Source organism: Homo sapiens, chromosome 14 (assembly GCF_000001405.40).
Source record: "Homo sapiens chromosome 14, GRCh38.p14 Primary Assembly".
NCBI classification, from domain to species: domain Eukaryota; kingdom Metazoa; phylum Chordata; class Mammalia; order Primates; family Hominidae; genus Homo; species Homo sapiens.
Window position 1 is genome coordinate 19,318,885 of NC_000014.9, and position 26,006 is coordinate 19,344,890.

General features: G+C 40.8%; 2 long non-coding RNA genes and 1 pseudogene across 5 annotated transcripts in view, besides 1 other annotated feature; all 3 read right to left on the bottom strand.

Annotated features, from left to right (window-relative positions):
- Positions 1–18,790, bottom strand: part of DUXAP10 (double homeobox A pseudogene 10) — a 42,890-nt pseudogene extending 24,100 nt beyond the window's left edge. Inside the window, exons 1-6 of the transcript NR_110526.1 lie at positions 18,696–18,790; positions 16,468–16,578; positions 15,050–15,197; positions 14,818–14,929; positions 12,951–13,088; positions 12,598–12,733 (exon numbers count right to left, since the gene is read on the bottom strand). The product of NR_110526.1 is annotated as a double homeobox A pseudogene 10 (transcript). The remainder of the gene's footprint in view (positions 1–12,597; positions 12,734–12,950; positions 13,089–14,817; positions 14,930–15,049; positions 15,198–16,467; positions 16,579–18,695) is intronic.
- LINC01297-DUXAP10-NBEAP6 (LINC01297-DUXAP10-NBEAP6 readthrough) overlaps positions 1–26,006 on the bottom strand; it is a 115,486-nt gene that overhangs the window by 50,082 nt on the left and 39,398 nt on the right. The window contains exons 4-8 of one of the 3 annotated variants that reach the window (NR_164310.1): positions 18,696–22,556; positions 15,050–15,164; positions 14,818–14,929; positions 12,951–13,088; positions 12,598–12,733 (exon numbers count right to left, since the gene is read on the bottom strand). This is a non-coding gene — a long non-coding RNA (LINC01297-DUXAP10-NBEAP6 readthrough). Of the gene's footprint in view, positions 1–12,597; positions 12,734–12,950; positions 13,089–14,817; positions 14,930–15,049; positions 15,198–18,695; positions 22,557–26,006 lie in introns of all 3 variants that reach the window. The other 2 variants (NR_164309.1, NR_164308.1) reach the window with 2 other exon arrangements.
- Positions 25,167–25,367: a silencer, noted in NCBI's record as "peak2108 fragment used in MPRA reporter construct". NCBI's record gives its function as "represses an SCP1 promoter by STARR-seq MPRAs in K562 erythroleukemia cells {active_cell/tissue: K562}" and the evidence as "EXISTENCE:reporter gene assay evidence [ECO:0000049][PMID:32103011]".
- The window catches only part of LINC01297 (long intergenic non-protein coding RNA 1297), a 39,960-nt gene continuing 39,398 nt past the window's right edge, over positions 25,445–26,006 (bottom strand). The window contains exon 4 of the long non-coding RNA NR_164166.1: positions 25,445–25,750. This is a non-coding gene — a long non-coding RNA (long intergenic non-protein coding RNA 1297). The remainder of the gene's footprint in view (positions 25,751–26,006) is intronic.

Sequence of the window (26,006 nt, forward strand, 5' to 3'; positions counted from 1 at the left end):
GACTATGATGTAGGCCATGGGTTTCTCATAAACGGTCTTTATTATGTTGAGGAACTTTCCTTCTATACATAAACTATTAAAAGGTTTTATCAAGAAAGGTTGCTAAACTTTGTTAAATGCTTTGTCTGCATCAATTCAGGTGACCATGTTGTTTTATCTTTCATTTTGTTAATGTGATATATCACATTGATTTACATATGTTAAACCAGCCTTGCATGCCAGAGATAATTCCCACTTAATCATGATGTATAATCTTTTTGATGTGTTGTTGAATTCTACTTCCTAAATTTTTTTTTCCTGATCAGCCATTTATTTTTATATACATATATATATTTTATTACACTTTAAGTTCTAGGGTACATGTGCACAATGTGCAGGTTTGTTACATATGTATACATGTGCCATGTTGGTGTGCTGCACCCATTAACTCATCATTTACAGTAAGTATATCTCATAATGCTATCCCTCCCCCCTCACCCCACCCCACAACAGACCCAATGTGTGATGTTCCCCTTCCTGTGTCCAAGTGTTCTCTTTGTTCAATTCCCACCTATGAGTTAGAACATGTGGTGTTTGGTCTTTTGTCCTTGTGATAGTTTGCTGAGAATGACAGTTTCCAGCTTCATCCATGTCCCTACAAAGGACATGAACTCATAAATTTTATGGCTGCATAGTATTCCATGGTGTATATGTGCCACATTTTCTTAATCCGGTCTATCATTGTTGGACATCTGGATTGGTTCCAAGTCTTTGCTATTGTGAATAGTGCCGCAATAAACATATGTGTGTATGTGTCTTCATAGCAGCATGATTTATAATCCTTTGGGTATATACCCAGTAATGGGATGGCTGGGTCAAATGGTATTTCTAGTTCTAGATCCCTGAGGAATCGCAACACTGACTTCCACAATGGTTGAACTAGTTTACAGTACCACCAACAGTGTAAAAGTTCTACTATTTCTCCACATCCTCTCCAGCACCTGTTGTTTCCTGACTTTGTAAAGATCGCCATTCTAACTGGTGTGAGATGGTATCTCATTGTGGTTTTGATTTGCATTTCTCTGATGACCAGTGATGATGAACATTTTTTCATGTGTCTTTTGGCTGCATAAATGTCTTCTTTTGAGAAGTGTCTGTTCATATCCTTCACCCACTTGTTGATGGGGTTGTTTGTTTTTTTCTGGTAAATTTGAGTTCATTGTAGATTCTGGATATTAGCCCTTTGTCAGATGAGTAGATTGCAAAAATTTCCTCCCATTCTGTAGGTTGCCTGTTCACTCTGATGGTAGCTTCTTTTGCTGTGCAGAAGCTCTTTAGTTTAATTAGATCCCATTTGTCAATATTGGCTTTTGTTGCCATTGTTTTTGGTGTTTTTAAACATGAAGTCCTTGCCCATGCCTATGTCCTGAATGGTATTGCCTAGGTTTTCTTCTAGGATTTTTATGGTTTTGGGTCTAACATTTAAGTCTTTAATCCATCTTGAATTAATTTTTGTATAAGGTGTAAGGAAGGGATCCAGTTTCAGCTTTCTACATATGGCTAGCTGGGCAATGTCAACTTTGTAAATTAACTGAGAACTGTCTCAGATTTTGAGGGTTCACAAACTATACTCCAAGGATATAGTAACCAAAACATCATAGGTCTGGTAAAAAAACCATGACACAAAAGCCAATGGAACAGATTAGAGAAGGTTGTAGGCTGCACTCCTACAACCATCTGATCTTTGACAAAGTCTATAATTAGAAGCAATGGGAACAGACTCCCTATTCAATGAATGGTACTAGGATGACTGTTTAGCCATATTCAGAAGATTTAAAATGGACAACTTCCTTCCAACATATTAAAAAAATCAACTTAAGATGGATTAAAGACCTAAATGTAAAACCTAAAAGTATAAAAACCCTAGACAAAAGCCCAGAACATAATATTCTGGACATAGGCAATAACAAGGATTTTATGATCAAGTTTCCAATAGCTATTGCAACAAAAACATAAATAGACAAGTGGGACCTAAGTATACTAAGGAGATTATGTTCAACAAAAGAAACTATCAGCAGAGTAAACAGACAACCGACAAAATGGGAGAAAATATTTGCAAACTATGGATCTGACAAAGGTCTCATATCCAGAACCTGTAAGGAACTTAAAAAAATTTTTAAGCAAAAACTAAACAACCTCATTGAAAAATGGGCAAAGGACAAGAACAGACACTTCTCAAAAAAGACATACATGCTGTTAACAAGAATATGAAAAAATGCTCCATTTTAAAAATCACTAATCATTAGAGAAATGCAAATGAAAACCACAATGAGATACCATTTCATACCAATCACAATGGCTACTAATAAAAAGTCAGAAAATAACAGATGTTGCTGAGGTTGCAGAGAAAAGGGAAATCTTATACACTTCCGTTGGGAATGTAAATTAATTCAGCCATTGTATAAAGCAGTGTGAAGATTTCTCAAAAAACTCAAACAGAACTACCATTTGGCGCAGCAGTCTCATTACTGGGCACATACACAAAGAAATATGAATTGTTCTACCAAATGACACATGTACTTGTATGATTATCACAGCACTATTAACAGTAGCAAAAACATGGAACCAACCTAGAGGCTCATCAGTGGTGGACTAGAAAAAAAAAAATGTGTACCGCCTGACGTGGTTGCTCACGCCTGTATTCCCAGCACTTTGGGAGGCCGAGATGGGTGGATCATTTGATATCAGGAGTTTGAGAAAAGCCTGGCCAACATGGTGAAACACCATCTCTACTAAAAATACAAAAATTAGCCAGGCATGGTGGTACATGCCTGTAGACCCAGCTACTTGGGAAACTGAGGTGGCAGAATAGCTTGAACCTGGGAGGCGAAGGTTGCAGTGGGCCCAGATTATGCCACAGCACTCCAGCCTGGGTGTCAGAGTGAGACTCTATCTCAAAAAGAAAAAAAATTGGTACATATACACCATGAAATACTGTGTAGCAACAAAAAAACAATAAATTTATGGCTTTTGCAACAAAATGGATGTAGCTGGAGGCTACATCCCACAAATTAAGCAGATTAACACAAAAACAGAAAAAGACAGCATATATTATCACCTATAAATGAGAGATAAACATTGGCTCCACATGGTCCAAAACAAGGACCAATAGATACTAGGGCCTGTGTGAGGGTAGAGGGTGAAAAATCGGTGAAGATTGAAAGATTACTTATGCCTATCAGGTACTATGCTCACTACCTCAGTGACTAAATTATTTTTTCCATGAAACCCCAGCAACATGCAATTTGCCTACATAACAAAGCTGCACGTGTACCCCCTGAACCTAAAATATAAATTAAAAAAGAAAAAAATGAATATCAATAAGATACTTAGTAAACACACAAGTGTTTGGAAATCAAACAACAAACTTCTGAATAATTCACAAAGAAACATCAAAATAAAACTTAGAATACATTTTGAATTGAAAGATAAACATCTGAAGTGCTGAAAGAATAGAGATGGCTTTAGTCTCGAAACTTACATATAAAAACATTGAAATTTCAATCAGATGGCAATTGGTATGTGATTTGATAATCTACTTTAAAGTTTATACGAAACTGAGAACCCGGTTAGGTGCGGTGGCTCACGCCTGTAATCCCAGGACTTTGGGAATCAGAGGTGGGTGCAACACGAGGTCAGGAGTTCAAGACCAGCCTGGCCAAGATGGTGAAACCCTGTCTCTACTAAAAATAAAAAAATTAGCCAGGCGTGGTGATGGATGCCTGTAATCCTGGCTACTCAGGAGCCTGAGGCAGGAGAATCAATTGAACCAGGGAGGCAGAGGTTGCAGAGAGCCAAGATTATGCCACTGCACTCTAGCCTGGGTGAGAGAGCAAGGCTTCATCTCAAAAAGAAAAAAAAAAAAATTGAGAACCCAGATAAAAATAGCTAACTTTCTTCTCCAAAAGAAAAAAGAATGACAGTGAGTAGAGGTCTGCTTCTATTGGCTATCAGATAATCTTATAACCCTGCAGTACTGTGGTGGTACGAAGCACATCCACAGCAGTAGTGTGACCGTCAGGTATCAAATAGACAAGAACTTCAGAGAAGACAAATGTAACATTTGAAATCAGTAGAAAGAAGTATTACTTTGAGAAAGTTGGTTATTATTTGGAATTTGAAGAAATAAACAATAAATTTCAAATAACTTAAAGAATGAAATAAAAAATAAAATTAATACTACAAGGAAGTTTTTAAAATATTCATGCCTTTTCCTCATGACATGAAATATAAATATCATGAAGTAAAAGACAGACAAATTTTACTAACTAAACAAACTCATTTTTAGCAAACACTTGATAAATACCATTGAGACAAATAACAAATTAGAAGAAAATATTTACATGGTATACATAACAAAAAAATGGATATTCAGAATGTATAGAGATTATCAAATAATAAAGAACTTGCAAATCCCAGTGGGAAAATGAGCAAAGAATATAAAGAGGAATTACACAGAAGAAAACGTATGCTATGTATTAACAAATGAAAAGTTGCTTCATCTGTGTAATGGCCAAAATGTATGTTAAAATATAAGACAGCATTTCTCCCATCTCATTGGTAAAATAAAAAATACATATGCACTTCATAAATTCATATGTCACTTCAGCATTTTTACAGTTAATATCACTTTTGTTATTCTTGAAAAGTTGAAAAATTAAATGAGTTAAAAGCAGTATGAGAGAAATTATTGCAAATATGTGTATAATATTGTTAGGAGAAACCCAAGTAAGACCCCAGAGGTGTAAGTTTAAATTGAAGACTAATCAGTTTATATATATAATAATTTTAAAATATTCTGTGCATTATAAAACTCACAAAAGAATTAAAAGGCAAAAAAATCAAGAAAAAATAATTTCAAAATAAATGCCACAACACAGCTTCCTGTGGTCAAGATTTCTCTCCATTCTACTTTGACGTCTAAATAGATCTTTGGGCATCTAGACTAATATTGGGTTTGTATACTCCCAGAAAATTCAAGACTACTAAACGCACCCAACCTTACAACCCCGAAGCATATTATCACATAGGGGTCTTGTGTAGTTTGCTAAAATGTAATGTACTACCTGTCACAGAATGAGCACTTAACTGATGTTGGGTGTGATGTAGCATAGTAGCAAAAAACTTTAGAATTAGGCCACAGTGTTTTTAAGGGCTTTGCACGACCCATTATTTTTTGGCACTTAATTTAAAAAAATCTGCATGCTTATTTTAATTTTGTCATTACTTGCCATTGTATCCATCTCAGCACACTGATCAAATAATCACAAAAATCACAGAGATGATACTCTGCTAATTAAGAAAGTTTTCTTTTTTTCTTTGTGAAACCATTCTTCATTTTTTTTTTTTTGGTATTTAGAAATAATTTCTAGTGCTAATTTATTTTTAGTGACATTTTGCACAGACTCTCCAAATAAAAAACCAAGAACGACCAATTTTATTGGGAAAATACTAAATGTAACAAACTTTATTTTTTGATGAGTGAAGACTATTTTTCTAATTTTGCTTAAAAATTTTAGGTTTAGCCTTAGGTAATACAGTTAATAGAGAGAATGTTTACTACCATGCATAAATTCAAAAGACTTGTTAGTTTAGATTGTCAATTTAATGTTGAACAAAGTTGCTTGAAATTTTCAGATGAAATAACTTTAGGTAAGCTTAAGAAAAGTTTGATTGCATTTTGTTTATAATCTTGTACTTCTATTTTCATTCTGATTTAGTAGGCTGCACACTTTTTAAAAAAAAATTTCAGGTGGATTGTGGCCATTCCTTTTCCTCTTAAGTCTTATTTGATTGTTCTTCCAGAACAAATATTAACATTTGCAGTCCTGCATCTGGATCAAGCAGTTTGGTTAGAGAAATTTAAACCTTTAAATCACAAAACAGCTTATTTTCAATTGTCATAGCTGACACTGAATCTATGCCTAATGGTGTAAGCAATGTGGATATTGGAATGTCTCTGAGTTTTTATATTAATAAATTTACTAGCTAAATAAGTGATGTAATCATCTGTTGATGTCTGAGATGAAGAGTGAGTAAAAACCACATAAAAGTCTTCCATAAAACTAAACTTATCTTGGAATTCTTTGTAAAAATAATTTCTGTGAGATGGAACTTTGGAAAGTTTTCCTGTAATTTCTTGAAATCAAATTTAACAGTGCATGGTAGTCTGACCATTCTGCATTCTCCTTTCTGTATAAAAAACATCACTATTTCAAGGCCAGAGAGCCCCCTTTACATGGCTTGTTAAGAATTCTTCAAAATCCAGCATGATTCAAGATACTGATGGATTTTGGGTATTTCAAGAGAATTCCTCTGGTGGCTAAAATGCTTTGAAGATCATTTGTGCAGCAGTCACTCAAGATGAAAGACTCCCTAGTTAATTGTCCAGTGAGATTACAGTTCCTGTGACAGTGGCAGAAGAAGTCCAGCAAGGAGTTAGCAGCAGCCTAGTTGGCTTTTGTTGCATTCTCAATGAAAGCAGAAACTAATGAATAGCACTCAAAGTAATCAAGTTCCTGCTTTCTTGTCAAAAATTGAAGATGTACTGCTCCAGCTACTTTGGGGCTTAACACTTTCTCCAATTAAGAAGAGATGTTGAGAGCTTCTAGGAACCCATCATCCAAGACTGCGGCACTAAAAAAACACACCTGAGATTTTGCTCTACGAAGTTATTTTCTATTAAATTCACTGCCTTTTTCACATCAGAGTGAATAATGACAAAACATTGTAGCTTAGTCGTTTTGCACTCTTCATTCGGATTTTGCAGCAACTTGCATTCCTTTCAACGGCTCATAAGTTAAATTTCTCAATGAAGTAATCACAACAGAACTATCTCCTTGGACAGTTTGGAGTTTCCTGAAAAAAAACAGATATACTACCATATGATCCAAAAATCCCACTGCTTGGTATATACCCAAAAGAAAGGAAATGAGTATATCAAAGAGATTTCTGCACTCCTAGGTTTGCTGCAGCACTGTTTACAATTACTAATATTTGAAAGCAACCTAAGTGTCCATCAACAGATGAATGAAGAAAATGTGGTACATATACACAGTGGAGTACTATTCAGCCATAAAAATGAAAGCCTGTCATTTGCAACAACATGGATGGAACTGAAGATGATTATGTCAAGAAAAATAAGCCAGGCACAGAAATACAAACATCATGTGTTCTCGCTTATTTCCGGGATCTAAAAATAAAAACAATTAAACTCATGGACATAGAGAGTAGAAGGATGATTACCAGAGCTTGGGAAGGGTAGTGAGAGAGTGAGGGGGAGGCAGGAATTGTTAATGGATACAAAAAACAAAAAAGAAATAATATATAATAAAAACCTACTATTTGATAGCAAACCCAGGTGACTATAGTCAATAATAACTTAATCATATATTTGAAAATAACATAAAGAGTGTAATTGGAATATTTGTAACTCAAAGAATCACTGAGGGGATACCCCATTCTCTAGGATGTGCTTTTTTTCACATTGAATGCCCGTGTCAAAACATCTCATGTACTCCATAAATACTATGTACCCACAAACATTAAAAATAAAATACAAAAAAGAACCATCTTCTCTCTGTGTAACAAATACTATAGTTTCAAATCCAAGGCTAGAGAGCTGCCCTGAAATAATATACACTCTTTTGACTTGAAGAGTTTTCTCTTTGCTCTATACATAGGTATTTGTAGAAGTTAACATTCTGGAACACTGACTTCCAACACAGCAAGAGGGACAGCCACACATGTAAAATACAATGACAGAGCAGGACTCACAAGTGCATTCTGCTGAAAAGGTGAGCAAGCCAAATTCAAATTATTTTTCAAACTCATTGATTTTAGCTACCGAAAGGTCTATAGGACATTATCAGACAGAGTTTTTGTAGAACCTAAGATTTAGAAAGTGAACTTGAATGTGACTGTGATCATTACGCAACAACTGCTGTAAAAACTCAGGTTGGTGTTGGCCACAAAGGACTACAACACTCTTGTGTTGCCTTGACAAAGCTCCTCTAAACGTGGCAGTAAACTTAGTGCCTTTCAGTATTCTCCTTTTTCCCATAGACTCACAGACAGCGAGAGACACCTGGCTCCCCCACATCACTTCCTTAGCAGCCAAGAACAGCATGTCACCCAGAATGAATTCTGGCTGTGGCAGAAAATGGCCCACATAGAGAGATGTCTGGCATTTGGTAGTACCTGGGTGAGAGCTTTCCAAGCTCTTAGGAAGTATACAATGCATAAGGTCCATTTCTAAATACTAGAAACATCTTGCTGTGAAAGCACATAAAGTCCATAGTTAAGATGATGATGCCATGCAGAAAAACACGTGGCAATGTAACCACCAGTCTTTACTTTTTCAATGGCCTTGCACATGGCTGTTACTGTACTGCTGAAGTCCAGCGTCAGCAGTTTATGTTTCCCCATTGTGTCATCAGCCCAATGCAAAGTACCATCAAAATAACACCTGGAGGTGCTAACAGGAAAATAATCTGAGTAAATCCACATTTGCTGTCTCAACTTCCAAAGACTGGTCATCCAACAGTGTGTTTCTGTCTTTCTATCTTGGCTGCCACCTTTACTACACTGTAGGGGTCTGAGGTTTGTAGAGTGGATATCGCAGAGTTCTGGTTGTCCTTGTGAGGTTTGATATGATAAACTTTTTAAAAGAAAGTAGGCCTGATTACAGAAATGAGTATTGTCCCGACAATCCACATAGAATTCTGGGGCATTCTTCTCTTTACATTCAATAATAGCTTCCGCTAAACTTGTAATGTTCTGTGGGAATGTATCACTTCTTCACCTTCTTGCTCACTTCCCACCTTCTTGCTCAGAGCTCCAATGGGCTCAGAGCAATGTTTGGAGTGCCAATCACCCTGAGCTCAACCTTGCTCTGAGCATCATCTTCTCTGAGCTCCATCTTACACTGAGAAGCACCTGCTGCAAGCTCCATCTTGCTTGGAGCTCCTTCTTGCTCCAAGCTCTATCTACTCCAAGCTCCATCTTGCTCAGAGCTCCATCTGCTCCAAGCTCCATCTTGCTCGAAGTGCCAATCGCTCCAAGCACTATCTTGCTGTGAGCAACATCTGCATAGACATTCATCTTACTCAGAGCTCCATCTAGTCAGAGATCCATCCACTTTGAGCTCCATCTTGCTAGGAGTTCCAATCACTCCAAGCCCCATCTTGCTGGGAGCTCCAATCACTTCTAGCTCCATTTTGCTCTGAGCACCATGTGGACAGAGCTCATCTTACTCTGAGCTACATGTGCTCTGAGCTCTACCTTGCTTGGAGCTGTAATCACTGTGGGCTCCGTTTTGTTCTGAGCCCCAACTAAAACCAAGCAACGTCTCCTCCAAACTCCATCTTGCTTAGAGCTCCTTTTTTGCTCAGAGCTCTGTCTGCTCTGAGCTGCATCTTGCTCAGAGCTCCAATTGCTCAGAGCAATGTTCAGAGTGCCAATCATTCTGAGCTCCCTCTTGCTCTGAGTACCATCTGCTCTGAGCTCCATCTTACACCAGCAACATCTGCTCCAAGTTCCATTCTGTTTGGAGCTCCTTCTTGCTCAGAGGTCTATCTGATCTGAGCTCCATCTGGTTCGGAGATCCAATCACTCCAAGCTCCATCTTGCTCTGAGCACCATCTTCTTGAAGCTCCATCTACTCCCAGCTCCATCTTGCTTTAGAGCTTCCATCACTCTGAGCTCCACTTTGCTCAGAGCTCCATTTACTCAGAGCTCCATTTGCTCCAAGCTCCATCTTTCTCAGAGCTCCAATCCCTCCAAACTCCATCTTGCTCTGAGTACCCTCTGCTCAGAGCTCCATATTCTCGGAGCTGCATCTTCTAGCTCCATCTTGCTGATATCTCCAATCACTTCCAGCTCCATTTTGTTCTGAGCATCATGTGCTCGAAGCTCCATCTTACTGTAAGCAGCATGTTCTCTGAGCTCCATCTTGCTCTGAGCACCATCTGTTCTGAACTCCATCTGAAACTGAGGAACATTTGCCCCAAGCTCCATCTTGCTTAGAGCTCCTTCTTGCTCCGAACTTCGTTTGCTCCAAGCTCCATCTGCTCCGAGCTCCAGCTTGCTGAGAGCTCCAATTACTTCCAGCATCATTTTGCTCTGAACACCATCTGCTCAAGCTACATCTTACTGTGAGCAACATGTTTTCTGAGCTACATCTTGCTCAGAGCTGCATCTGCTCCAAGCCCCATTGTGCTCGAAGCTCTAATCACTCCGAGGCTGATCTTGCTCTGATCACTATCTGCTCAGAGTTCCAATCCTCCAGAGTAAAGTTTTTAAGTTCCAATCATTTCAAGCTCCATGTTGTTACGAGCATCTGCTCTGAGCTCCATCTTACACCGAGCAACATCTGCTCCAAGTTCCATCTTGCTTGGAGCTCCTTTTTGTTCAGAGCCCTATCTGCTCCAAGCTCAATCTTCTCTGAGCTCCATCTTGCTTGGAGCTCTAATCATTCTGAGCTCCATCATGCTCTGAGCACCATCTGCTCTGAGCTCCATCTGAAACTGAGCAACATCTGCACCAAGCTCCATCTTGCTTAGATCTCCTTATTGCTCAGAGTTTCATCTGCTCTGAGCACCATCTTGTTCAGAGCTCCATCTTGCTCAGAGTTCCAACTGCTCAGAGAACTGTTGAGAGTTCCAACGACTCCAAGCTTTATCTTGCTCTGGGCTCCATCTTACACAGAGGAACATCGGCTCCAAGCTCCATCTTGCTTGGAGCTCCTTCTTGTCTGAGCTATATTTGCTCTGAGCTGGACACTCCATGCTCCATGGTGCTCTGAGTTCCATCTGCTAAGAGCTCCATCTGCTCCAAGCTCCATCTTGCTTGGAGCTCCAATCACTCCAAGCTCCATCTTGCTCTGAGCACCATCTGTTCTGAGCTCCACCTTGCTCAGAGCCCCAGTCACTCCTAGCTCCATCTGGCTCTGAGTACCATCTGCTCGGAGCTCCATCTTGCTCTGAGACCACAGGCTTGGTGCTCCATCATACTCAGAAACATCTGCTCCGAGCTTCATATTAATCGGAGCTCCATCTCACCTGGAGCTCCATCTGCTCTGAGCTCCATCAAGCTTGGAGCTCATCTTGCTCAGAGGTCCATCTTGCTTTGCGAACCATCTGCTCCATGTATGGTTATAGCAGCACTATTCACAATGGTAAAGACTTGGAACCAACCCATATGCCCATCAATGATAGACTGGAAAAATAAAATGTACTACATATACATCATGGAATACTACACAGCCATAAAAAGGTATGAGATCAAGTCCTCTGCAGGGACAGGGATGAAGCTGGAAGCCATCATCCTCAGCAAGCTAACACAGGAACAGAAAACCAAACACTGCATGTTCTCGCTCGTAAGTGGGAGCTGAACAATGAGAACACATTTTAATACTATTACGCCCTCTGAAAATGGTCTCTGTTAATCTTAACAAAGGATATTTATACTTTGTAATTTTTTTCTCTCTAAAGGATTGTGGCTTCTTCTGTCTGTGCCAGTCTAGGGCCCAGGTTGACTACCTCACTTTGAAATGACCCACCCCATGTCCGTCCGCACATGGTTGGTCCCTCCTGTAAACTGTTTGTTCACAGACTGTTACCACCTGTGGGTCATTTGACGGGAGGTGACCTCACACAGCAATGCACCAGGCAAATCACCAACTGAAAGAATCACTGAAACAACATGTGTCTGCTTATTTCAAAGAATGAATAGGAGTCAGTTGAAGGTGATTAAGTCAGCAACATCTTAAGGTGATAAGATGTCAGTAACATCTTAGATGACCAAGAATAATCCTGTGGGCCCCAAGAACATATGACAATATGGACTACGCCAGCAAAAATCTCACCCATCAGACAACAGCAAATGACACTGTGGCTCAAATGTTAAATGTCCTCTCTTGATGTGTGAAAGCACATGACCAGCAGGAGGCAAAAACATCAGGGAGACAAAGGCTTTGTTGCATATCTGTGGACTTCAGTCTCCAGTGAGACACTCAGAGCCTACATCTCCTCTGTTACCACTGCTGTTTTGATTGCACAGAACATTTCCATATATGTTTCATTCTACAAGAAACGTTTCGACAAACATACATCTGATAAAAGGCTGTCTTCAAAATGTCTAAGCAACTAACACTACTCACTAGCAAAAACACAAAAGAGAAACTAATAACCAAACAAAACCTGAATAGACATTTCTACAAAAAAGACATAACATTGAAAACAAGTTTTAAAAACTTGAATAACATCACAAACCATGAGAAAGATATAAATCAAAACAACACACATATCTCACTATAATTCAAATGGATGTTATCAAAGTGATACAATATATTAAAAGAGACACAAATGCTGGTGGAAATTTCCAGAGAAAAACTCATTTGGTAAGAATGTTAATTAGTATACAGCCGGGCACGGTGGCTCACGCCTGTAATCCCAGCACTTTGGGAGGCCGAGGCCGGCAGATCACGAGTTCAGGAGATCGAGACCACCCCGGCTAACACGGTGAAACCCCGTCTCTACTAAAAGTATAAAAAATTACCTGGGCGTGGTGGCGGGTGCCTGTAATCCCAGCTACTCAGGAGGCTGAGGCAGGAGAATGGCGTGAACCCAGGAAGCAGAGCTTGCAGTGAGCTGAGATCATGCCACTGCACTCCAGCCTGGGCAATACAGCGAGACTCCATCCAAAAAAAAAAGAATGTTAATTAGTATACATACTACAGAAACCAGTGGGAGGTTCCTCCAAAAATTAAACCTACAACTACCACTTCATCTAACAATTCTACTACTAAGTATACTTTCAGTGCCAAAGAAATCAGTTTATGCAAGAGGTATCAGCCATCCTATGTGGACTGCAGCACTATTCACAATCGCCAAGATAAGGAATAAACTTACCTGCCCATCCACAGATGAAGGGATAAAGTAACTGTGGTGGACATACACAAAGAGAATAGTCTTCAGCCAGAAAATCAGAATGAAATTTCATCCTTTGGAGCCATACTGTTGAACCTGGAGGACAGCATGGTAAATGACCTGAACCAGGTAGAGAAAGAAAAACATTGCCACATCTCACTCATGTAGAACCCAAAATAAAAGGCTTTATTGCAATAGATCTAGAGAGCACAACAGTGGTTTCCAGAGATTGGAAGGAAGCAGGGGCATGGGCAGGGATCAGAAATAGGTACAAAATTACACTTAGATGAGAGCAATGAATTGTTCCTCTCTGTTCCACAGCACTGTGACCAGAGGTTAACAAAACATCACAGCTTTTTCACAAAATCTGGAAAAGAAGATTCCAAATGTTTTCACCACAAATAAATTAACAACTGTTTGTGATAACAGAGACTCTAAATATCCTGATTTTAACATTCCTCTGTGTCTGCATTAACCAAAATGCCCCACTCTAACTCCCCCCATTGTATACCTTTACTATATGGCCAACCTTTTAAAAAATATGTAAATATGCAATGCTAAAATTCATGCAGACCACAAAACACCCTGAATTTCTAAAGCAATCCTGAGAAGTCCACACTACATTGGTTGTGTCACACTTCCCGATTTTAATTTTCATTGAAAAGCTAGGGACCCCATTTCACACAGAGCAGTGGAACAGATTAGAGGACCCAGATGTAAACCCACACCCCTAACACCATCTGATCTTCAAAAAAATCCACAAAAATAAGCTTTGGAGAAAGGACTCCCTCCTCTCAATAGATGGTGCCAGGATAAAGTGCTAGCCAGTTGCAGAAGAAAAACAGTGGGCCCCTGTGTCTCACCCTGCACAGAAATTAACTCAAGATGAATGAAAGATGTAAACACAAGACCTCAAACTATGAAAAGCCTGCAAGAGAACTTGGAAATACCCTTCTTGACAGAGGATTTGGCAGAGCATGGCTATGCCTAAGTCCCCAAAAGCAAGTGCAACTAAAACAATTATTGACAAGTGGGGCCTAATATACAAAAGAGCTGCTGCACAGCAGAAGCAATTACCAACACAGTAAACAGACAGCCTACACAATGGGAGAAAATGTTCCCACATACGCATCTGATGAAGTCTAATATCCAGGATCTACCTCAAATACATTAAGCAAATAAATCAGAAAAACAAAAACTCAATGAAGAAAGGGTAAGGGGCATGAAAACATGCATCTCAAAAGAAGGTTTACAGCAACCAACAGACAAGATATCATTGCTTTACCTCAGGAATCATCAGAGAAATGCAAAGCTAAAGGCCCATGAGATAGTATTTCACACATTCTGATGAATGACAATTATGACACAGTCCACAAGAATGAACACCAGCAAGGCAGAGGAGGAGGGATGCTGGTCTGCTGTTGGTGGAAATGCAAACTAGTTCGGACACCATGGAAAGCAATGTGGGGATTTCTCAAATAACTTTCTCGACATCACTAAACCTCACAAAAAAATGTCCATGAAAACCACACTAAGATTCCGTCTCATTCCACTCAGAATGAGTACTACCAAAAACAAAACACAAATTTTTGAAGGTGACATCCAGTGTAGACTTACAGAAAGGTAACCTCTTAAACACTATTGGTGAGGATGTAAATTAGTATACACACTATAAAAAACAGCTAGAGGTTTCTGAAAAAATTCACAGTACAACTACCATGTCAGCTAACAGCCCCACCACTGGTTCCACATTTAAAGCAGTTGAAGTCCCTAGGTTGAAGAGAGCTATCTGCCTTCCCACGGGTACTAAAGCACTCTTAACTGTGGCCAAGGTAGAGAACCAACCTACCTGTTCAAACACAGCTGCAGGGATGAGGAAACTGCTGTACAGATACACCACGGAATATGTTTCAGCCAGAAACCTTTGGGAAATCCTGCCATCTGCAGCCACATGAAGAAACCTGAAGAACATGAGGTTCAAAGAATAAGGCTGGTAGAGAAAGTCCCATGCCACGTGATCTCAGGCATGCAGACTGAAGAAAGCTTTATCTTCTAGAAGTGGAAAGTTCAATAAGGCTTACCAGAGGCTGCTGGGGAAGTGGAGGCAGTCTCAGAAGGAATCAGTGATGGGTACAAAGTTACTCTCAGATGAGACTGATCAATTCTGGCCTTCTATTCCACAGCAGGGTGACTAGCCTTAACACAAATGTACCATATGTTTCAAAGTAGCTAGAAGGAAAGATTCTGAATGTTGTTACCACTCAAAAATAATAACTATATGAGATGAAGAGATGCTAAATAACCTGATTTTATCATTACTCAACATATACACGTATCAAAATCTTCCTTGTACCTTTTAATTGTATACATTTAGTATATGACAAATAGTGTTTTAAGAAATATAAAGAAACAATGCCAAAATTTATGTGGAAATGTGAAACACCCTGAATTTCCAAAGTTATTCTGAGAAATACAAACCATATGGGATGTGTCACATTCCCTGAGTTCTAATTAAATGAAAATCTGTAGTTAACAAACCCATACGTTACTGGCATACACAGAGAAACACAGACCAGTGAGCAAAATGAATGTGCTCGATAATAAACAAAAATTTATATGGAATGAACACATTTTTCAAAACACCACCAAAATGACACAACGGGGAAGATTTCCAAAACTAGATATCCATATGCAAAAGAATAATACAGGACTCTTATGGTACTAGATACACAATAATCAACTCAAAATGATTAAAGATTATACACAAAACTTGCAACCATAAAGCTCCTATAAAGACAACCTCAGGTGTGCGTATATTTAGGGCAACTTGGATGTATGCTTAGGGTTCGCAAAAAGTAAACAAAAATACAAGGGAAAAAAATTATTGACAATGAACTGCTTTGGTAGTGATTTGTGATTTTGTTTTTTCTTGATTAGTAACCAACAGCACAGCCACCAAGAAATTATGCACATGTGGGACCACGTCAAGCTGAAGCGTTTGTGCCCAACAAAGGAAACAATAAAGAAAATAAAAAGTCACACTAAAAATTACAAGTTTGGGATAAGGGATTATTTTTGAAAAGGTACAAGCGAGTCATACTACCAGCTGGCAAAAAAAAAAAAAAAAAAAAAAAAAAAAAAAAACAGAACAATTGCCAGACAAAAACTGGGCAAATAACCGGATTAGATATTTTTCTAAAGAAGACAGGAAACTGACCCAATGTCTACAAAAACGTGGTTAACATTACTACTCACGAGAAAAATGCAGATCAAAACCACACTCAGATCTTATCTCACTCCAATAGAATGAACATTACAAAAAGATCAAAATATTTAAAAAGACAATTCCTGGTATGAATTTCCAGAAAGGGGAACTGTTTGTGGAAACATAAATTAGTATTAACACTATAAAAAACAGTTGGAGGTCTTGCAAAGAATAGGAAAAAAAGAAATACCATATCATCTAGCAGTCCCATTACTGGGTATAAATTCAACCTACCTGTTCATCCACAGATAAAGAGATCAAGAAACTCTCATATACATACACTAGGAAATATTCTCCAGCCATCAAAATAATGAAACAGTGTCATTTAGAGCAACACAGATGAACCTGGAACACATTATGTTAAATGTAATGAGCTAGGCCTAGAAAGACAAACACTGCATGATACCACTCGTGAAATCTTAAGATGTTTATCTTAATGAAGTAGAAAGCACAATATTGGTTACCAGAGTTTGGGAGATAGAGGGGGAATGGGGAAGGATTGATTATGGAAACAAAGTTATCTTAACATTAAAGGAATAAATCTGAAGTTCTCCTCCTCAGCCTGGTGACTGGAGTAAACAATATCATATTTTTCTAGAGCAAGAAGGGAGAATTTTGAATGTTCTCCCCACAAAAAAAAAAAAAAAAAAAAATGCCTGGACGAGCAAATAGAGATCCTAAGTACCCTGATTTGATCATTACCCAACCTATATGTATGAAAATGTACCCCTAATTATGGACCTTTATGTTGTGAAAAAAAGTTAATAGAAATAAATAGGTATTGCTAAAAATCACAGGGAACCACAAAAGCAATGAATATCTAAAGGAATCCTCAGAAATACAAAGTGAAGACCCACAATCCTCAATATCAAATTACACTGCCAAGTTGTAGTTATACAGCTGATATATGATACTTGCATAAACTATGGACAAAAACAGGGAGAACAAAAACATGATCAACACAAATATGGACACAGTCAACTGACTTTGATAAAGAACACTGCAATGTGGAAGGCAGAGAATGAGTACCTTTGAGAAAAATGATATTCAGATGCAGAAGTGAGAAATAGGACCTTATTTTACACGATGTATGAAAATGAACACCCCCTCCCCCAAATTGAAGGCAAAACAAAAGACCATAAACCACAAAATGTTTTTAACTAAAACACAGGATGAGCATATATTTTGGGTCACTTGAATCTCTGCTCACCTTTGCAAAGAGGAAAATAAACAAACACCCTAGAAGAAAAACCTCATTGACAATTAAATGCTTTGTCACTGATATATATTTTCTTATATGGGTGACAAAAATTACATGCATGAAACGCAAAAATAAATATATGGGACTATGTCAACATGAAAAGTTTCTGCACATCAAAGAAAACTACTTTCCAAATTAAAAAGCATCCTATAGATTAGGCAAAAATTTCAGGCAATCATGTAATTCACGAGGAGTTGTCATCTAACATGTACACAAAAAACACTACAAAGTAGCAAAAGCATCCAATCTAATATTTTGCAAAGAACCTGAACAGACAATTCTGCACAGCCATAAAATCGAACAACAAATAAGAGATAAGGTCCTCAAAATAAACTATTCATTAGAAAACTGTAATTCAAAACCACACACAGATAATCTCACACTTATTGAATATTCCTAGATTTTTTATTTAAAAAATAAGAGGGGCTGGGAATGGTGTCTCATGCCTGTAATCTCTGCACTTTGCGAGGCCGAGGCAGGTGGATCACCTGAGGTCAGGAGTTTGAGACCAGCCTGACCAATATCGTGAAACCCCATCTCTACTAAAAATACAAAAATTAGCTGGGCATGGTGGCGGCCCCTGTAGTCCCAGCTACTCCGGAGGCCGAGACAGGAGACTTGTTTAAAACCAGGCAGAGGCTGCAGTCTGCCGAGATGGCGCCACTGCACTCCAGCCTGGAAGACAGAGCAAGACTCCATCTCAAAACAAAAACAAAACAAACCCCAAACCAAAAATAATAGGAATGCGGGTATGGTTTTGGAGAAAGGGAAACTCATACACTGTAGGTGGAAATGAAAATTAGGATACACACCATGGAAAACAGCTAAATAGCTGGAGACTCCTCAAAGAACTGAAACTACAGATGTCCCCTGCTCTAGCGAGGTCTCTTTTTAAAGGTGCTGAGGCATCAAAAATAATCCTAGACTCCAGCTCAGAGGCCCCTGAGGCTCGGAGGGACCCAGGTCCGGCGTTTCACCGCCAGCTCTGGGCCAGGGCGCTCCTATACGCTGGACGCGGGTCGGACATTGGCATAGCCTTCCCGGCCGGGGTGCGGACGCTGCAGTAGCCAGGACCCCACAACCGCCCCCACGCGGAGGACTCGGGCCCAGATGCCCACGAAGAAGTGAAAGCACGAAAACAGGGAGAGGCAGGGAAGGAGCCGGGAGGGTTCCCGGTGGGGTCCACGCCCCCGCCACTTACCGCGGAGACCTGCCTCCTACTCCACCATCACATGGAACCCACCACTGCTTCTCCGAAGCTCGCTCTGACCACGCCGCTGCTGCTGCAGGGGCCTCGCAGGAAGTGCAGTCTCAGCTTCCGTAGGGACACGCACGCTGGCAGCATCCCTCGTGCCAGGTTGAAGCTCCACCCCCTCTTAAAGGGACGCGGCTCGGACTTGCCAGAAGCAGCTTTGGGTGGCAACACAGGCTGAGCCTCTGCCCAGCCCCAGGGGGCGACGAAAGACCCCTGGTCTCTCATCCTCCCCAGCTTTCGGGCCCTAGAAGTCGCAGGGACGCTCCCTGTGACCCCCTCCCCGAGATCGGCTCCCTTTGCCTAGGGAGCACCCGGGACCTGCCCCTGCCCTCCTCTGGACCTCAGTTCCACCATCCGCAAAGCAAGCAGCCTCGCTAGAGCTCTGGGGTTCCTCAAGCTTGGCGTCTCAGGATCCAGGGTGTGCTCCCCTGCCCCTCTGCAGAGGGGGTCCAGAGAACCACAGAAAGCTGGGGGCTGGAGGGACAGTCCGGAGGGCAGCAGGGCCTCCCCGGCCTCACTGTCCGCATCTGTCCTGTGGGAGCCCGGGGGCCTCGCTATGGCCCAGACACCCACAGCCTCACCAGGGCTGCCTGGGTCACCGGGCTCCCCAGGAGGCAGGCAGGGGCCCTGGGGTCCAGCGCTGCCCCCACCTCAACTCCATCCTGCGTCAGGGCCCGCGAGGGGCCCTGTGGACTGGACCCAGGCCCGCCCATTCCCAGGGAGAGGCTATTAATTATTGCCTCAATTTCAGAGCCTGTTATCGGTCTCTTCAGAGATTCAGCTTCTTCCTGGTTTAGTCTTGGGAGGGTGTATGTGTCAAGGAATTTATCCATTTCTTCCAGATTTTCTAGTTTATTTGCGTAGAGGTGCTTATAGTATTCTCTGATGATAGCTGGTATTTCTGTGGGATCGGTGGTGATATCCCCTTTATCTATTTTTATTGCATCTATTTGATTCTTCTCTCTTTTCTTCTTTATTAGTCTTGCTAGCGGTCTATCAATATTGTTGACCTTTTCAAAAAACCAGCTCCTGGATTCATTGATTTTTTTGAAGGGTTTTTTGTGTCTCTATTTCCTTCAGTTCTGCTCTGATCTTACTTATTTCTTGCCTTCTGCTAGCTTTTGAATGTGTTTGCTCTTGCTTCTCTAGTTCTTTTAATTGTGATGTTAGGGTGTCAATTTTAGATCTTTCCTGCTTTCTCTTGTGGGCATCTAGTGCTATAAATTTCCCTCTCCACACTGCTTTAAATGTGTCCCAGAGATTCTGGTATGTTGTGTCTTTGTTCTCATTGGTTTCAAAGAACATCTTTATTTCTGTCTTCGTTTCGTTATGTACCCAGTAGTCATTGAGGAGCAGGTTGTTCGGTTTCCATGTAGTTGAGCGGTTTTGAGTGAGTTTCTTAATCCTGAGTTCTAATTTGAGTGCACTGTGGTCTGAGAGACAGTTTGTTATAATTTCTGTTCTTTTACATTTGCTGAGGAGTGCTTTACTTCCAACTATGTGGTCAGTTTTGGAATAGGTGTGGTGTGGTGCTGAAAAAAATGTATATTCTGTTGATTTTGGTGGAGAGTTCTGTAGATGTCTATTAGGTCTGCTTGGTGCAGAGCTGAGTTCAATTCCTGGATATCCTTGTTAACTTTCTGACTCATTGATCTGCCTAATGTTCACAGTGGGATGTTAAAGACTCCCATTATTATTGTGTGGGAGTCTATATTTTGGTTGAAGTTGAGTTTCTAGTCAAAGAAAAAAACACATGAAGGGCATTCGTGTTTCCAGGAACAGAAGCATCCTGTCTGGTTTTTCAAAGGTGAAGGGAGCAGTCTGAAGGGGCCATGGCATACGTGTGTCTATAATCAAAGCTCAGAGCCAAGGCCCTGGGGGAGGGTCAGGGGTGCCCCAGGGGGTGCGCCCCATCCAACACTGCACTGCCAGGGGCCTTGTCTTTATTAAATTCTGGGCCTTTTCCTGGGCAATAGTTACACAAGGTGGGTTCAATGAACCCTGTGTCCTGTGGCTGCCACCCATTTCAGGGTCGCAAAGGTAATGATCACCCCTTCACCTTCTGCTGAGGGTCCAGGTGACCCCCTGGTGGTGTAACCCAGGCCCTCGCCCCTAAGGGGTCCTGAGTCTTGCTCACCACTGAGTCCTTGGTCTAGGGCTCCCGCACTTGTCCAGGTACCATCAAATGCTGTGTACTGAGAGGCGCTTGCGTAGAGCCCCTTCTTCCCCAGGCAGCACAGCCCTGCTCCTGCTGACACCATGGTCCAGGTGGTACACATCTTTCTGCCCGCAGGTCCCATGGAGGAGCAGCCTGAGAACAAAGCAGCACCCAGAGCTTGTTTTTTTTAGAGAACCTGGCTCTGTCCTGTCTAGAAGCCCCACAGCTGTGGAAACCAGGACCTCCTGCTTTTCAGAGCCTAGATGTGCAGGACATAGATGCACCTCAGAGGTCCTGGGTGTGAGGTGGAAGGTTGGGGGACACTGGGCTTCCTACTGCTGTGCTCCCATTGCCACATCTTCTACCTGGTGGGACCAGGCAGCTAGCAAAGGTGACAGATTCACCCAGACACTGTGTCCTCCCACATCCTGACCTGGCACCTGAGCCACACTGCTGGCTCTGAAGTTCCCAGGAGCGTGTGTGTGCTGTGACCAGCGGACCTATGGCATGTGCCGTCTTCCTCCCTCTGTGGCATGGTATCAGTTCCTCTGATGGTGTCATGTGAGGTCTCGTCCTGATGGGCAGAACTTTCTATAAACCATCCCGTGGCCCCGGGGAAAGGCAAGCTCATCCCTGCAGGTTTAGTTGTTTCTGTTAAATGCAACCCTGTTCTTCCCAGGATGTCAGGGCCTGGTGCAGTTGTCCCAGCCTGGCAGGCAGTCGTCCCCTTGATGGTTTTGTGGAGTGCGCAGCCTGGGCCTAGCTCATGACCCTGGCAAAGGGCAGGTGAGCCCTGGGGCTGACCACCTGCACTTTCTGTTTGGTGGTGGGAGATGTGGGGCAATATTTCTTGCCTTTCCTTTAGAGATCATCTCCCAGCCTGCACAGACCACTAGACCCCTAAAAATGGGATTTGTAGGCAGGGCCTGGCTCTCTGTGGTGCTTTTCTCTCCCCTCCAGCCCCGCCGGTTTCCCCCATCTGTGCTCCTGATGCAGGGGGAGGACTGTATTATGGCAGACAGCATGCTGGTTTACACAGTTCTGGGACAAAACTGTAGGTATACATTATTTTATGTCCCAAGTAAATGAATCCAATTTCTGGATGCTTTTTTGACACAGAGGGAAGAAATGCATTGGTGAGATCCATGAGCCAGAGCTCAGGTCCATGCTCAGGCTCTGGGAGCAGCTGTGCAGCTCTGGAGCTGTTGCGGGGCCCGGGGAAGGCGTAGGTGCTGTGTCTTTGCTCACTGTGTTAAAGGCTTTATTTGTTTCTTTGTTCAGTTTGTTTTCTTCGATCCCTGTTTAGCAATACTGAAAATCAAGCATTTCTAAGAGGCGGAGACCTTGATTTGGAGCAGGGGCGGGGCATTGGGCGGAAATGGAAAATAGGTTGATAGTGGGAATTTCATTTTCTGGAGCTCACGTGCAGCCTCTTGATGGCCCCGTCACAAGTTCACCTGATGACCTGAGTGGCCACTGTCCTTCTCCTGAGTGGTTTGCCTGCTTGCCAGGCACATGAGCAGTGCATGCTCACATTCTTCAATTGAAGGAACTAAGAAGAGTTTGTCAGCAGATTGTAAGCCTGAAGCTGCCAGTGTTTGGTCCACAGTAAACCACATGTGGAGAGCTTTAAAAAATTGCCTTCAAATCTGGCAAGAAAATTACAGTAATAAATTATTACTATAATACACATATTTATTTAGTTACAATTATATATATAAAAAACAATTTTGCAGAAGTTTCCCATCTACCAGCATTTATTATTATTATTTTTTTTGCATGATAAGTTTCCAAGGAACCTTAGTGATGGGGACTGTCTCTTTTAAAATTAAATTGTGTAAATAACTCCCAGAGCCATGCTGGTAAGAAACAAAACAAAACAAAAAGAACTAGAAACTTGAAACAAACGTAGGATTTCTGCTGGTAAAAGGATGCAAAGCAGGCCTGCCTGCTGCACTTCCCCAGAGCTAATCCTTGAGCCAAAAGAGCTTCCTGGTGAAGCCTCGCACTCTCCGTAACAGGGTGTGGGGGGACCGCGACATGTGGGCTCCAGACTTGACCATCTTTACCTAGTTATGGGATTTCAATCATGTCTTTTAAATTCTTTGAGCTGCAGTTTTCACATATATAAAGTGGAAATATTTTTAAAATTTTAATTTGTATTATAACCTTGTGTAAAGATAAAATAGTACACTTGAAAGCATTTTAGCTGAAGTCAAACGTTCATGTGTGTGCATGCGATGGCTTAATTATTTTAGGGCTTATCCTGGTTTTACTGGTAGTGTTACTAGCACTGCTACTTCTCCATATCTCTGAAGACTATGAAATACTTAGAACTGAAGCAACAAGAAGCACCTGTTAAAGGGTTCTATGGCCGATGACAGATTTGACACAACTGGATATAATAATATGTTAGATGGTGACTAGAGCACTGCTGAGCAGAGACTTCATGCTGTTCAAAGTCGAAGGTGTCCCTAGAATTCTGAACCTGCTGAAGCAGCATTCAGAACTGAAGTTGAGAAAAGTACATTTTCAATTAAAGAAAGTCTGAGAGAATGTGTTGCCATCACACCCAAACCACAATAAATGCAAAAGAAAGCTGTTCAGCTTGAAGAAAAATGATAACAATTGGAAATTCTAGTTCTCAGAAAAGATGAAAGTGTGCCAAAAATAGTAAACATGTGGAGGGGAAACTGCTGTTTTAATGACATCCTCCAGGAATTACAACATGTGCAGAAGAAAAATCTATGACAACATGGCACAAAAGATGAGAGAAGGGAGGAGGGTAAGGTAAGGTTTTTATATTTTATATACAGTGTTATGATATTTAATATACTTTAAGTATTTTTATTTTAATTTCTAAAGAACTCACTAAAAATAAATAAATGAAACAAAGAGTCATAGTTAAGAAAAACACAAGATACAAAATCCATACTAAAAAAAAAAAGAAAACCCCATAAAACAAACAAACAAACAAATGAAAACTACAATAATCCAGAAGAAGACCAGGAAGGCAGAACAGAGACTGTCAAAGTAGGTAAAAAGGAAACCTCAATATCAGCTTTTAAAACGATATACACTTATGAGGTAAAGATACAAATAGATTCAAACTGAAAAGATGGACAAATATACACCATGCAAATCTTTGTTATCAAAAACTGCAGCCAGTGTATTAATGGCAGATAAGACAGACTACAAGAAAGACAAGCATCAACAGGGATAAAGAAGGATGTTTTATGCAATAAGTCCATTTGCTTAGAAAACCTAATAAGCATAAGCATGTATGCACCTAAGAAAAATAACAAAATACACGAAGCAAAAGTTATTGAATTAAAAGGATAAATGCATAAATCCACAATTTGACAATTCTAATTCTTATATCTCAGAAATTAATAGAAAAAAATAACTACGACAATAAGGCTACAAGGTATTAATAGGAGAGATTATAACCAGAGCACTGGGAGAAAAACAGCAATATCCAATATGCTTACAATATTGGTTGACAACTCAAAAGTTCCCAAAATAATTTTTGACACTAAAGGTAAATAGCCTGGAAAACCTAAAAGCCAGCATAGGAAGGAAGTGGAAAATGAAATGCTGATTGAAAATAAATCTGGAAGTCCGGGCGCGGTGGCTTATGCCTGTAATCCCAGCACTTTGGGAGACCAAGGTGGGTGGATCACCTGAGGTCGGGAGTTCGAGAAATTCTGTCTGTACCAAAAATACAAAATTAGCCAGGTGTGGCGGCACATGCTTGTAATCCCAGCTACTCGGAGGCTATGGCAGAAGAATCGCGTGAACCTGAGAGGCAGAGGTTGTGGTGAGCCGAGATCACCCCATTGCACTCCAGCCTAGGCAATAAGAGCAAAACTCCATCCCCCACCCCCCCAAAAAAAGAAAAGAAAAGAAATCTGAAGAAAGGAAAAGAGAATTGAGGATAAAGCTTTGGGATACAAAATCCAAAATCAAATGCTAGAAATAAGTTCAAATATATCACTTTTTCCTACCAAACATAGAAGGATTAACCTCATATATTAAAATACAAAATATCAGTAACAAAGCAGCACTTTCAAATTCAAGAAAGAAAAATAATGGGAATAAAAATTTTAAGTAAATATTCACAGAAAGCAAGCTGCTACCACAAAATTAATTTTAGTTCAAGTAAAATTTAAGGAAGAAATAATGAACAACAGGATAGACACTGCACATGGAGGGACCATAGAACCGAGTAGGTGAAGCAACGTCAAGTCCAATGCTGGCCTCGCCTCCAGGACATACAAAGAAACTAACAGGAAGAGCAGGTCTAGAGAGGGACGCGGGAACTCATACTTCTGAATTTAAATGGGAAATAGACAAAAATGTTATGTGTTTATAAAAGATTTTAAAATCACAACAAATGCTGAATATACATCATTTCCTAGTATATGTAATACTTACTAAATGGGACTCATATTAGGTTGCAAAAGAAATTACAAAAAAACTGGAGCTAGGGACCAAAGGACTAACAGAAGTGAGAACAAAAAACACACCCCATATATTTTAGGAAAAAACGGCACAGTGATTTAATGGTAAGTCACTATAAACATGAAGGGAAAGACTGCCATCCAAGGAAGCGCAGAAAAGGACACCCCTCAGGTCCTGGATGGAGGAGGATGACCCCCAAGTCCTGGATGGAGGAGGAAGACCCCCAATACTGGATGGAGAAGGATGCCCCCAGTCCTAGATGGAGAAGGATGCCCCCCTCAGTCCTGGATGGAGACGTCATGAGTAACTGTCGGTAAGAAACATCATGTTCCTCATTCTGCCCTTGCTCCTTGGGCTCCAACAGGAAAAACCAGAAATTCTGTGGATGTAAAACATGGAAACATTCATTCTTTAAAGAAAAAGGCTGCAGAGACAAGAACAGCGAAAGGATGTTATTGAATACATGCAAATGGATAAAATATGAATGATTATGTTCTCATGTTCAACCCAATTTTTAAAAGTGGATGTATGAGCAGTGCGAGCATTTAGTCAGGCCATGGTGAGCCTGTGGGCAGCGGTGGCAAACCCGGACTCTGCCCGCCGACACCAGCGGCCCCGAAACCCTAGAGCCAGAG